The sequence below is a fragment of the Homo sapiens genome, chromosome 3, assembly GCF_000001405.40.
Source record: "Homo sapiens chromosome 3, GRCh38.p14 Primary Assembly".
Lineage (NCBI taxonomy): Eukaryota > Metazoa > Chordata > Mammalia > Primates > Hominidae > Homo > Homo sapiens.
Window position 1 is genome coordinate 3,996,589 of NC_000003.12, and position 15,205 is coordinate 4,011,793.

The 15,205-nt window shown below is 39.8% G+C and overlaps 1 long non-coding RNA gene across 1 annotated transcript in view; it reads left to right on the forward strand.

Annotated features, from left to right (window-relative positions):
- Positions 1-9,530: 9,530 nt before the first annotated feature.
- LOC102723512 (uncharacterized) overlaps positions 9,531-15,205 on the forward strand; it is a 40,652-nt gene continuing 34,977 nt past the window's right edge. Inside the window, exon 1 of the long non-coding RNA XR_007095788.1 lies at positions 9,531-10,475. This is a non-coding gene — a long non-coding RNA (uncharacterized LOC102723512). The remainder of the gene's footprint in view (positions 10,476-15,205) is intronic.

The following is a 15,205-nucleotide window of genomic DNA, read 5'->3' on the forward strand; positions in this document are numbered from 1 at the left end:
TGTTCAGGACCAAGCAGACCTTATAGACATCTACAGAACTCTCCACCCCAAATCAACAGAATATACATTCTTCTCAGCACCATTTTGCACTTATTCTAAAATTGACCTCATAATTGGAAGTAAAACATTCCTCAGCAAATGCAAAAGAACGGAATTCATAACAAACAGTCTCTCAGACCACAATGCAACAATCAAATTAGAACTCAGGATTAAGAAACTCACTCAAAACCACACAACTACATGGAAACTGAACAACCTGCTCCTGAATGACTACTGGATAAATAACAAAATTAAAGTAGAAATAAATAAGTTATTTGAAACCAATGAGAACAAAGACACAACATACCAGAATCTCTGGGACACAGCTAAAGCAGTGTTTAGAGGGAAATTTATAGCACTAAATGCCCACAGGAGAAAGCAGGGAAGATCTAAAATCGACACCCTAACATCACAATTAAAAGAACTACAAAAGCAAGGGCAAACAAATTCAAAAGCTAGCAGAAGACAAGAAATAACTAACATCAGAGTAGAACTGAAGGAGATAGAGATACACACAAAAAAAAAAAACCTTCAAAAAATCAATGAATCCAGCAGCTGGCTTTTTGAAAAGATTAACAAAATAGATAGATGGCTAGCCAGACTAATAAAGAAGAAAAGAGAGAAGAATTGAATAGACACAATAAAAAATGATAAAGGGGATATCACCACTGATCCCACAGAAATGCAAACTACCATCAGAGAATACTATTAACACCTCTACACAAATAAACTAGAAAATCTAGAAGAAATGGATAAATTCCTGGACACATACACCCTCCCAATACTAAACCAGGAAGAAGTCAAATCCCTGAATAGAACAATAACAAGTTCTGAAATTGAGGCAATAATTAATAGCCTACCAACCAAAAAAAGCCTGACCAGACAGATTCACAGCCAGATTCTACTAGAGGTACAAAGAGGAGCTGGTACCGTTCCTTCTGAAACTATTCCGAAGAATAGAGTAAGAGGGACTCCTCCTTAACTCATTTTATGAGGTCAGCATCATCCTGATACCAAAACCTAGCAGAGACAAAACAAAAAAAGAGAATTTTAGGCCAATATCCCTGATGAACGTTGATGTGAAAATACTCAATAAAATGCTGGCAAACCGAATCCAGCAGCACATCAAAAAGCTTCTCCACCACAGTCAAGTCGGCTTCATCCCTGGGATGCAATCCGTCACATAAACAGAATCAATGACAAAAACCACATCTCAATAGATATAGAAAAGGCCTTCGATAAAATTCAACACCACTTCATGCTAAAAACTCTCAATTGTGTATTTCTGTATCTGTTTTAAAAAAGAATCTTGAGGCTCTGAGATTCTGATCAGCTCAGTCACAGAGCTAGCAAGAGAGCTGGGATTAGAGTCTACACCTTCAGAAGCCAAAAGCTGTGATATTTTCACCTACATAACACTGCCTCTAAAGTGAGACAAGTAACAACAGGAAGAAAAGAACAACAGAAAGAACAAAATTAAAAGGATCAATATGAAATGCTGAAACATGTAAATACTAACAGGGTAATGGTAATTTCTGAAAGCCTAAAGAGGAAAATTCCACACCACAATCCAAGAGATCTGATTAAGCAGGCTATTTTGTCATGTGAACATACTCTTCTATGGCAACCCACCACAGCTCACATCTTTGCACCCATTGTATAGAATGCCTGTGGGCACACACAAATGGCTCGCAAAGACGACACTTAAAAATAGCTGTGCTGCCCTCTACTGTTGAAAAAAGAGCAAGCATGAAAACGGCAATCAGATTTGCTACTTGTGTGTCTTAAGCTGATAAGTGAACAGCAGCAGAGTGCTACAAACACCATTTCATTATTATCAGTCAGTGGTTCAGTAGTAACTTTAGCATTGAAATAAATATTTTGACATTAATGAGATCAAACAGTTTATTTGGCTTAATAAAGACAATATCATAATTGTTTATTGTTGGTGCTATCCTTGTTAGTTGGATTGTCTGCTTAAGACTAGCTGAATAGACATGAATATTCAGTACTTAAAGCTTGTTTTCAGATTCTTGTAATGTCAGGGCTAAATAAAACTTAAAGGTCACATAGAGGTAAATGGATGTTTTACATATGACAACTCTGATCCATAGGCAGCAGCTGCCTGGAGAAATGTGTAAATAAGGATTTTGAGACTCTGTTCAAGCTCAGTGACAAAGAAGATTACAATTGATTAGTAATGTCTTCCAAGTAAGAGAAAGTGAGATAATGCTATACGTGCAACATCCATCTGTCCATGGGCTAAATTAGACTGCCATCCCTAGGCTCGTCTGATCACTTTACAGATAAGGAAATCAAGGCCCACTGAGACGAAATTGCTTGTTAAAGATCTCATTGCTGGCCAGGCGCGGTGGCTCACGCCTGTAATCCCAGCACTTTGGGAGGCCGAGGCGGGTGGATCATGAGGTCAGGAGATCGAGACCATCCTGGCTAACAAGGTGAAACCCCGTCTCTACTAAAAATACAAAAAATTAGCCGGGCGCGGTGGCGGGCGCCTGTAGTCCCAGCTACTGGGGAGGCTGAGGCAGGAGAATGGCGTGAACCCGGGAAGCGGAGCTTGCAGTGAGCCGAGATTGCGCCACTGCAGTCCGCAGTCCGGCCTGGGCGACAGAGCGAGACTCCATCCCAAAAAGAAAAAAAAAAAAAAAAAAAGATCTCATTGCTGCTGGAAATTAGCCTGGGTCAATCCTATTACTGGGTATATACCCAGAGGGATATAAAGCACTCTACCATATAGACACATGCACACAAATGTTCACTGTGGCACTGTTCACAATAGCAAAGACATGAAATCAATCTAAATGCCCATCAGTGACAGATTGGATAAAGAAATTGTGGTACATATACACCATGGAATACTATACAGCCATAAAAAATGAAATCTTGTCTTTTGCAGGAACATGGATGGAGCTGGAGGCTATTATCCTCAGCAAATGAATGCAGGAACAAAAAACCAAATACTGCATATTCTCACTTATAAGTGGGAGCTAAATGATAAGAACTTATGAACACAAAGAAGGAAACATCAGACACTGGGGTCTAGTTGAGTGGGAAAGGTGGGAGGAGGGAGAGGAGCAGAAAAGATAATTATTGGGTACTGGGTTTAATTCCTGGGTGATGAAATAATCTGTATAATAAACCCCCATAACATGACTTTACCTATGTAACAAACCTTCACATGTACCCCGAACCTAAGATGAAAGTTTTAAAAAAAATACCTGTAATGTGAAAACCCTTTACTAGTGGGATTAATATTGTTTGGGCAATTATCATCACTGTACAAGTGGCTGTTAATAGCATTTTCCACTTGCTCTGTGCTGGGCACTGTACTATATTCTTTACCAACTATTATCTTATTTAATTATCAAAGGCTCTTTGGCGTTGGATATTATTACCCTTGTTTTTTTGTTTTGTCTTGTTTTTTTCCTAAAAAAAAGAAAGAAATTAAGCTGGATCAAGAATTCAAGCATCCTGTATTCTGGAACATTCTTCTTGCCATTAGATATAAGTTTCTTAGCTAGGCCTCCAGGAATGGAGGACAAGACATTTCAGCCCAAACTTTATAAAGTAACAAGTGATGTTCATTCTCAATACAGCTTTAAGATAATTCTTTACTGTCACCAAGGCACATATTTTCTTCTTTACATAGACCAAAAGCCTTTGCGAAAGATAGGGCACAGGCAAAGCCTTTTCATCTTACAATTGATCTTTTTGATGATTTGTTCATAAAGAAATAGAATTTCCCATTGTGGAGTCATTTCCATGGTTACCTATTGATTTCCTATAGGAAGCATGCTGTTTACACGGCCATCAGGTCTTTATTGTGGAGGGTAAATCACCCTCTGAGTTTTCACTTTATCTGCAACCTGAGGCATGTAAAAATGAGCTCTGCAAAATTACCAGAACAAGATAAATAAATGATTCATGTGAATTGGTTTTGCATGAATAAGTGATTAATCCTCTCTTTCAACTTTGCTATGAGAGAATGCAGAATTAATGTAATTCTATGCAAACAGAATCCACTTTTCTGAATTCTGACCTAATTGTTGGTATTTGTGAGGCAAAATACATGTAAAATTTCCTGTAGTTTTTAAAAAACTAATGATACTGCTACTGAAAATCAGGAACCAAACTTCTCTTTATAAACCTTAACTGCAGATGCACACGGATGAGATTGTGATTTACCCTAAAAGTTCCTTCAAAGCATCTTGTAATTTGGCATTCCAAAGGTATATGACCTTAGTGTTCCAAAATAGGACTTAGAATTGCTCACCAAATAGCCTAGTCTTTAAACCAGAGTCCATGTGGCAGCCTTAGCAGCCTGAATTAATTAGGCTCTTGGAAGAAACACACCTAGGACTCTGGAGTTTTCACATAATGAGAAATCAGTAGACCATTCAATAAATCAGTAGAACACTCAACCCAAGAAAACATCCACAAAAATAAAATCCCTTTAATTGGGGACATAAAATAACAATTCTATTCTATGAAGATGTGTCTCAGCGTTACGCTAGAAGTTTAGGTCTCTTTCTCCAAGAGTATTTCACCTGTAGTCAGGAACTTTAAACATAAACCCAGACCAACCAAGTGATTCTATAAAAGTCACAAAATAAGAATACTAGGAAGAGGAGATAATCTTGGACTGGAAGATAAGCAGAGAAGGCTTCTTGGTTTGTGCAAAATTGTGGCTTTTGCCATTACTTTCAATGGCAAAATAAATTTTGGCAAAACTTTTTGTTAGGAGACTTGCAGAAGCAGTGAGATTTGAATAGATACAAATAGAAAATTATAGTAGCTAACCAGTTAGCGAGCATTTACCATAGGACAGACGCTCTGCCAAACCCTTTATACTCTATCTTATCTTCATAACTATCCAATGAGGTGAGTAAGTTATTATTCTCTTTTTTATAGGTTAGATCGATGAGATTAGGCCAGGCGTGGTGGCTCATGCCTGTAATCCCAGCATTTTGGGAGGCCGAGATGAGCGGATCTCCTGAGGTTGGGAATTCGAGACCAGCCTGACCAACATGGAGAAACCCCGTCTCTACTAAAAATACAAAATTAGCCTGGCATGGTGGCGCATGCCTGTAATCCCAGCTACTTGGGAGGATGAGGCAGGAGAATTGCTTGAACCCGTGAGGCAAGGATTACGATGAGCTGAGATCACACCATTGTACTCCAGCCTGCGCAACAAGAGCAAAACTTTGTCACAAAAAAAAAAAAAAAAAAAAAAAAAAAAAGGCTGAGGTGTTAAACAACTAGTGTGACAGGGCTAGTTCCAATGATTCCAATACATACTGTCTCCTAAGTCTACAATCATAACTAAACCATTTCAGTCAGAGGGAAATAGGGAATATAGTGGCAAGGAAGCAAATCACATAGCAAGAGGGTGACAGAGGTTAAATCACTACATCAACAGAGAGTGGTGTAGTAAAGGGAGGAAGGGCTGGGAAAACTGCATGAGGGTGGATTACAGAGAGCTCTGAATGCCATTCTTGGTAGGATAAAATGTGAGAACTGAACCCCAACTGAGAAGGTGCCAATTAATTCAGGTGGCACTGACCTGTGAGGCTGAGGAGGTCTTAATCACCAGAACACTAAATGCTCATTATCCAACCTTTTAATTAGCAAAGAAACTACCCTGTCTGGAAAAGTTTTCAGCAAAGAACTAAGATTTGATCATGCTGTTAAAGAAAAAAAAAGAAAAGAAAAAAACAATCCTCTGATCTCTCCCAGGCAACAAATCTTGTATTTCAGATGTATGTTTTCATATCTTCCAGGTCCCAATTGGAGAGAAAATGAGGAAAAGGAGGAACAGATGGGACTAAAAGCAGAAGGCACCTGATGAAAGAGAAAAAGCAAGGCTGGGGGAAGGGTGTTTAGAGAAGGACTGGGAGAACAAAAGCAAAGAATCTGAAATGTAAGGTTATCTCCTCTGCTGAACTACACACACAAAGTTGTTCTATTTACTGCTTTGCAATATTGAGTGACTCTATCAAGTACTGGTGGCGATCGGTGCCTAGGAATAATCACATGGATCTCTCAATAGAAAGCTCACTTTACAGAATCAGGTCACTAATAAGGGCCTGGGGCATGTATATCACCATGTAGGTGTGAAAATGCAGGACAGGGTCAGGCTATGCCAACATCTTTGTACATGTGAAAAATGAAACCCAAGAAGGTCAACAGAAAGGGCATTGGCCTGGGAATCAGAAAGGTAGTCCTTTCCCTGAAAGAGGATAAATGTATTTTCCCAAGGTGACAAGGTAAGTAGTAGAGTGCCTACATTTTGTTTCTTGCCTCTTAGGAGAGCATGCTTTCTTCCGTTCCCATGAACTTCAGAATGAGCCACATCTTTACTCAAAGCCTCCTCTGCTATTTATATGTGTGACCTTAGGTAAGTTATTATCCTCTTTACCATACAGAAAAATAAAACAAGTTCTTTGCTTTCAAACAGCTAAATTAAATCAGGCACAGGTAGGTAGGCAAGGTCCAACAGGAGGAGTTGGTGTTAAGTGATTCAACTTTGTTCCCAGCACCAGGCTCATATTATAATTATCACTAAGAGTAGAATTTACCACTTCAGTAGAGGAAAGGCTCCCCATGCTTTTCCATAGCTTCCAAAGTTGGTTTGATGATTATGGGGGAAGAGAAGGAAATTGGGACAACACCTTCGATACTAGACAGTATTTATCAGTCACTCAGAGCTGTCCACCGTGCTTACAGCTTGGTGGATATTATTTCATTCAATCCCCCAGTAATCCTTTAGATTATTATTTCAATTGTACACATGAGAAAATTGAACTTCAGAAAAATTAAGGGACTTGCCCAAATCCCACTAGATTTAGCACCAGGCTCCAAGCTAATAGCAAACTAGAGAGCTCTTATGGGAACAACCATATTACTGCAGCTTTCCCAGTGTAGTTGTCATGACCAACTCAGGGTTCTCCAGTCCAAACAAGGAGGTCGTGCTAATCCATTCATACATCTTAACTCCCGGAAATCATTTCCATTCCCCATGGAGCAAAATTTTGGAAAGCAGATTCAACAAATTTTGCAAGGTACTGGGGGCAATGTGGCTATTATACAGAAATAAAAGACAACTTTCCTGTCCTCCAAGAACTTATAGTTTGGCACGAAAGTGGTAAGTAAACAGACAACAGCAAGTTAGACATCTTCTTCAGAGATTATATTTGAGCAGTGCAGATGTACAAAGAAAGGGGAAGAAAGTGAACAGGGAGGGAGACATTGAGGAAAAGCTGTGGTGGGAGGGAGAGAAGGAAGGAGGGAGGGAGGCAAGAAGGAAGGAAGGAGCGAGGAAGGGAGGGGAGGGGAGGGAGGGAGGGAGGGAGGAGGCAGGCTTTGTATGTCAGGGACTGTGTTAGTTATATTGCCTTATCTCTTAATTCTTCCAACACCTGGTTGTCGATATCATTACTCCCATCATATTCCTCCTGCTAACCTTCATCACCCTTAGAATGACCTAGTCTTGCATGATATGGTTCCTGCCTTCCTCTGTGGCATACATCCTACCACACTGACCCCTTTACTATGCCTTGAATGTATCAGTCTCTCTTTAACCTCAGGGCACTTGCTGTTCTCTCCAGCTCAAATGTCCCCCAACTCCCTCCAGATGTCCATATGGCCTGCTTCTCTCTCTCTTCCTTCTACTCAAATGTTGCTTCCACAGAAAGGCTCTCCTTGATCCCCCTAATAACCCACCTCTCAGCTCCACTCTCTTCTCCTTACTCTGGTTTATTTTTCTTCAAGGCACTTACCATTACCAATCTTTCTTTATTTGTATTTGTTGGTTGCTTGTCTCCCCATTCCTCCACTAGAATGTAAACATTTATTCTCTCTCAGGATAGTAGGCAGTGACTGTTTATTTTTATTTATCCCCAGAGGAGTCTCAGCAGTGCCTGACATATAGTAAGTGCTCAAGAGAAATTTTATGAATGAGCTAATGAATCTGCCTTTGCAAGATATGGAAACTGGGGTTCAGACAAGTTATGCATCTTGGCCATGTCACACAAATGGACCTACCAACTTCATGACATTGTTATGCTCACTCCTGCCTCAGGCTTTGGGCCTTGAAAATCTCTCCTCCTGCAGGTCTGCTGATGGATCTTCGCAGAGCTGGCTCCTTCCCATAGCTTCAGAAGAGCCTTCTGGGGTCACCTCCTTTAAAATTGCCCCTTCCACTCCCATTACCCTATTTAACATTCTCCATGACACTTACTACTCTCTGAAATTACCTTATTTTCTTATCTCCCTTATTAGAATGTAAGTACTAGAGAAATCAGACCAATGAGACTATTTCTTTCTCATTCACAGCCTGCCTAGAGCAGCACAAACAATGCAAAAACAAACCAAAAAATGAATAAGCGTGTGTATGTAGGTCTCTTAGTACCATGCTTGGCCCATAACAAGTGCTTACTAGCTACTAGTTACTAATTTTTTAGTAGTAGAGATTTAATAGGAAAGATTATAGGAAAAGAAACTCAAAACAAGGGAATAGTGTGAATTAAAGACTAGCTTTTCTTAAACTATGTTGCCAAGGTAGTTTTACCCACAAGTCTGTGTCCTGGGCAAAAATAGTGGAAATTGGCTTCAGCGCAATCACAAGACTTCTGGAGGAGTCTTTCACTCCGTATGGATCAAAAATGGTGTGTTTCAACCAAGAGTATGGCTTTGGACATCTTCTCGTACAATTCACATATTTGTCAGTCATATAAACATTTCAATTTCAAGAATAGCATCTAATGTGCAATTTAATTTGGCCTCCATTTTGTAACTCTCGGAGCTGCAAATGTAGTTATTTTCACTTGCAGCAAATGGTTTGGTTGAATAGTGCATGGCTATCCAGGACTGGCAGAAAGCAAAACACCAATCGATAAGAGCAATAAAACTGGAAATCCACAAGATGTGTGGCCTGAAACATGTATAATTTTTAATTCATAATTTACTTAAATGATTGATTCTCCCAAAAGAAAGAACTGAAATAAGTGATAAATTGAAGTCTTACTGTGCAGAAAAATGAATACAGTGTTGATATGTCTTTAAGATTTCTCCACAACCAACAGAGAAGAGAAGGTAACTTCTGGACCCTGAAGTAAATCTTATTTTTATTTGGGGAATTATTTGGACATAGCTGCTATTGCCAAAAAAAGATTAATCCATACTATGCCCACCTCCCACAGGCTCTACAACCATTCCAAAGAAAAACAGGTGAGGAGCTAAATGATGTTGCAAAAATCAGTGAATTTGGAATAAAAAACATCTGTATTCAAATATTGACTCTGTGGTAGGTAAGACTAGAGGATCAGACAGGAGGGCAAATATGTTGAATCTTTACTTAAAGGCCAACTCCCTTGCTGCCTACTTTTTTTTTTTTAAGAGACAGATTTTGCTGTTTCCCAAGCTGGAGTGCAGTGGCTATTCACAAATGCAATCATAGCACACTACAGCCTTGAAATCCTGGGACCAATCAGTCCTCCTTCCTCAGCCTCCTGAATAGCTGGGACTACACCTACCTATTTTTGTGCTCTACACTTATCTATTTCCCTTAAGAGGTAAGGGTTAGTATTTAAGACTTGTCCCTTGAAGCAGGCCTCCCAAGAAACAAGTGGGCTTTCTGCAAAGTACCAACGAAACTGGCAATGGCCTAAATCTTAAGGACATTAATCCTGGTCAATGATGGCAAGTCCTGGATCCCAGTCCCCCAGTTATGTCAGATTCTCTAGCTATGAATGCTGATGTGGCAAATCCAGCCGACAGCTTGCTAGACTATACAGCTGCAACCACAAGAGTTGGACTCCAGCCTGCTAATTACTCCAGGGGAGAGGCTGGTGCTACCCCAGACATAAATGCTGAGTTAGCAGCATGGAGCTAGAGCCAGCTCATATTGCTGTTGTATCCTGGCTGATCTCTGAATATAGCAAGGAGGAGGTGATGCTTCCCTAATAATTCAACTTGAAAGCCCCAAAGCCCAAGGATGGGGATCTATCCCAGAAATCTGACTTGCAGTCATGCTGAATTGCTGTGTACTACCCTAGAATGTGATAAACAAAAGAAAACCACACATCTGCTACTGCATACGTTCGTAAGTTTGCCTCTAGGGCTGATATACATTCTGGCTGTATACATTCTGGTTATTTGTATATCAGCCCTCTAGGGCTGAGATAAATTCCGGCTCTACACATTCTGGCTATTTGTCCTGGTCCCCACAATACCTCATTGATAACATTTATGAAGGGAAGAATAATACTTCTTGATAACTTTTTGGAAGTTGACAAAATAGAAAAAGAAGGTCCAAATGTCTATATTTTTATGTACACATTTATGCATATTTACAACTTCTGATATTTCTTCTTTTTTCTCAGATTATATGAACCTCTGGACTCTGGAGTAAGCATGTAAATATATACGTATATGTCTGTGTGTGTGTGTTTCTGTGTCTGTGTGTATTACTTATATTTATGTTTATATTTATATTTATAGGCATTTTGAGGTCCTGTGGTAAAGGCCTTGGTCATGTCTGCATAAAAGTCAGCATGGGATATCCTCAAAGCTGCAAGGCTCCACCTATGTAGACACTACTGGGAGCAGGATGCCTGGGAGACGAAGCAGGGCAGCATAAATTTTTGTAGCAGAGGCAGCATCTACAGGGGGTGTCTTTGTGTCTCGGAGGATTGTTGCAAAAGAGTTCATAAATGTGCAGTTCCCTATCTTCCCCAACCCTTCAAAGATGGGAAAGAACTTCATTTAGATGTTCCATCCTACCCCGTTTTTTTACTGATCTGGGCAATACCAGGTCCCCTTAACACACACACACACACACACACACACACACACACACACACACACACACACACACTTCCTGCAATATATTGTGCTGAAAATCAGCCTTGCTGTCACAGTTCCATTATCAGGAGAGTTTGGAGTAATGCCCAGCCTAGTCTATAATGAAAAATTGTGGCTCAGTGTCCTGATTAAAACCATATCATCCTTTCTTGTCTATAGCTCCGTTCTTAATTTCAGTCTAGCCCAAGACGCTATCTAAGGTGGCTTGGAATGCAGGCCCACATGTTCCTTTCTGCTGTGAGTACAAGCAGAACAGGCAGAGCTGGGATTCAAATTGACCTCTCTCTGATTCTGAACCCCATGGTCTTTCCCATGAAGAGATCTAGTTTTTTTTGTTTTTGTTTTTGTTTTTTTTTTTCATCTGTTAGGGGCTGTTATGGGTTGACTTGTGTTTCCTCCATCCTCCCTGAAAAAGATATTTTGTAGCCCTAACCTCTAGTACCCCAGAATGTGACCATATTTGGAGATACGGTCTTTATAGAAATATTAAAGTTAAAATAGGTTCATTTGGTGTGAGCTCTAATCCCATATGACTGGTGTCCTTATGCACAGAGGAAATATGAATACCAAGAAAGAGACACAGAGGAATCAGAGAAAAGACAGACACCTATGAGCCAAGGAGAAAGGCCTAGAACAGATCCTTCCCTCACAATCCTCAGAAGGAACCAAGCCTACCAACAACACCTTGATCTCAGACATTCAGCCTCCAAAACTGTGATGCAATCAGTGGTGCTTTGTTATGCCAGTCCCAACAAACTAATACAGGAGAAATTCAGAGTTTTCAAACTGGAAGTGCATGTCCGTGAACATTAGATTGTTGCAGCCATCCAACTGTACAGTGCACAGCTCCAGAGGGCAGTATTCCCAGGGTCACATCATGGTGCATTCCTGCACTAGACGTCATACACCACACAGCCTCACACAGTGGTCCCTGACCAAGCTGACACAGATAGAGTCTCCTCCTGTGAGACATCTGTTACATATGTTACATGTGTTAAACCTGTTATAAATTCAGTTAAATTGCCCTCAAAGTAAAGATTATAAAAGAAGGATGTTAAGGGAGATACTGTTGGATTTGTTGCAGTGCATTTAAAAATAGATAACTTCAAGGCCATGGAATATGGGACTGTTTTTTAGCACAAAATTATAAAAGTGGAGAACTAATATATGTTAACCTATCGGGAAACTCATCTGAGTATGAGCTGGGCAGACGTTTTGATTGTCTATGGAGGGCTGGACTTCCCACTTTTCTCCCACTCATCTGACAGGATCAGTTTTTCAGGTGATGAATTAGGAACAAGGTGAGAAGGAGGTGGCTCTAGACACCCTGGATATAGCACTGTTTTCTGTTAATGAGATTCAGATGGCCTGATAATTAAAGCTGTCTCCAAAACAGAATGGCTTTCCTCATCTAGCATCCTTGGCACAGGGTAATTCAACTGAAGACTGGGTTCATTTATCCATTCAACTCCCTAATAAATACTTATGGAGTATTAGGCAATGTCCTGGATATTGGAGGAATACAAAGAATAGTGCCAGTCATATCAATCTTGCTCTCAAAGAGTTTAGGTTCTAAGGAGAAATAAGGTAGATGCGTAGAAAATTCCAATATAGAATATAAAACTATGTGTCACAGAAAAAGTGCAGTTAAAATGCCACAGGAGTTCAGAGTAGTTTACGAAGGAAGATATTGGGACAGTGATGGCATTTAAGCTATATGAATAACATTAACAGATAGAGAAAATGGCATAAGCCAAGATGGAGAGGAGAAGTTGAAGGCTGACTGGAGTACAGGGCATGTTTTTGGGAGCTAGAAAATACAATTGGAAAGGTCTTCTATATCTTCTTTGGAGATGGTTTTAACCACTAGACCAGGAATGTAAGTTTTATTCTGAGGACCAATAGGAGCCACTCAAAGAAGACGACCTTACAGTGATGTTGACAGAGAAATTCCAAAGATAAGAAGTTACCCGCCAGGCAAGGTGGCTCACGCCCATAATCCCAGCACTTTGGGAGGCTGAGGCAGGCGGATCACAAGGTCAGGAGATTGAGACCATCCTGGCCAACATGGTGAAACCCCGTCTCTACTAAAAATACAAAAATTAGCTGGGCATGGTGGTGCATGCCTGTAGTCCCACCTACTCAGGAAGCTGAGGCGGGAGAATCTCTTGAACCCAGGAGGCGGAGGCTGCAGTGAGCCGAGATTACACCACTGCTCTCCAGCCTGGGTGACAGAGCAAGACTCTGTCTCAAATAAAAAAAGAAGAAGTTAACCTATCAAGTGACTTCTGAAATCTCCCTCTCAGATCACTGAGTCTCTCGATTCATGCTGAAGAAGAAACAATAATCCCTTATCATAGATATGGACCACATCAGTTGAGATAGGGCTTGGAGGGTGGGGAAGCTATGAAATCCTTCTGAAAGAATGGCTATATTTTAGGGGATCACAGAGAATGCAAAGTTCAAGCAACTAAAGGGAATAGAAAATCCAAGCTATGCGGGGGGCTCTTCCCTTTCTCATAATCCCCCTGGGCAATAAGCCAGTTCAGAGACATCATCAGCTTATTTTCTCATAAACAACAATTTATCAGTAAGAAAGTGATATTTTTCCTCTTTGCCTGACTCCTTAACACATAATTGGTAGTACCTCCCATAACTGATTAACTCAGAACAAAGCTGAAAAGAAAATAACTATTGTGAGCTGGAAGAAATAAACTAAACTCTAGGCGTCTTTCACCTCCTTAGATCCATTTACAGTGACCTTTAGCCAAGGGAAGCAATGATTTAGAGAGCAGCTAGAAAGGATTTGTGGAATCCACTGAACTGGAATTCAGCACACGGAGCTAATCCTGCAAAACTGTGATTATAAAATTACAAAGCTTGACCAAAGAAAGCTTTGTGCATTCTGTGGACTTGTACCTAAAATCACCCTTAGTCTGAAATATCCTTTTTGTCTTCCACAGGAATTGGCTAACTGTATTGCTCTATTTATGCCATCTTTGCAACTAAATACTGTGATTAACTTGAAGTGTGGTTTCCAGAAATTTCTTATGAGGAAACAGATAAATATGGAAAGATGTATGCCGAAAGATGTTTACTGCAGCAATGCCTAAGATAAAGACTGAAAACAATATAAATATCCATCAGGAGACGATTGCTTAAGTATAGTACAGTAACACACTGGACTATCATCCAGCCAATAAGCAGACTAAGTTAGATACTAACAAGATTCTAACAATAAACACAGTAAGTTAGTACTAACAAGAAACTATGTCCATCTGTTGCCCATGTGTCCATTAAATATTGCTAAGAAAAAGAAGTAGGACGCAAATAGTATGTGTAATATGAACTAATTTTTAACTTTGTATGTATGTTTGAGAAAGAGAAAAGCGTAAAAATGGTGAATCAAATTAACAGTGATTTTCATGGAAGACTGGGATTGTAGTGAATCCTTCATTTTCTCCCTATGCACTTCTGAATGGCTTGGATTTTGTTACAATGAGTATGTACTGTTTTTATAATTAGAAAAATGATATTCCTATTAGAAAAGGAAGATAAAGAGACTAATTCTTCACTATGTTTTCCAAATTTTAATATTACTTATATCAGAGATTATTTTAAGATATTTTAAACTACTCAGTGTAGTAGAAACAATACTGGACCTACAAGCCAGTCTTCAGTTGTGAGTTCCAGCTCTCTGTTTTTCCTATCTGAGCCTCAGCTGTCTTCATACACAAAATGAGTGGCTGTATTTACTGACTCACAAAGTCCCTACTAGTACTCACATTTCATAATTCTAACTGGAAATAAATACACCAGGCATTCAATCCTGTCTTATGCAATATGGCCTAAAATGAGGCCCACAAACTGCTATAATCCAAAGACAAGTGGACTCTTGGAAGAGCTGAATTACATAATAGAATAAGTTTCTATCATAGATCCCCAGGGAATGAGTCTTTTTTATACACTTACCGTCAGAAGTTCTGTCAAAAATTCTACAATCATCTCCAGCCCCAACATACACAATTTACTAGACAGGAAATTGAGGCCACAGAGGCAAAGGGACTTGTACAAAATCTCACAGCTAATGAGTAGAAAATTCAGGATTACAAATATTTAATCATTTCTGGGCTGGGTGTAATGCTTCTTAGATCTTAGAGTTCAGGCTAAACATGTGATAGGTTCAAAACAATGCTTTGACCGTCCCCCACAGCCCTACACCAAATGAATTTCTTTATGATATCCTCCACAGCCCGATCCACATCTCTGAAACTGAAACACA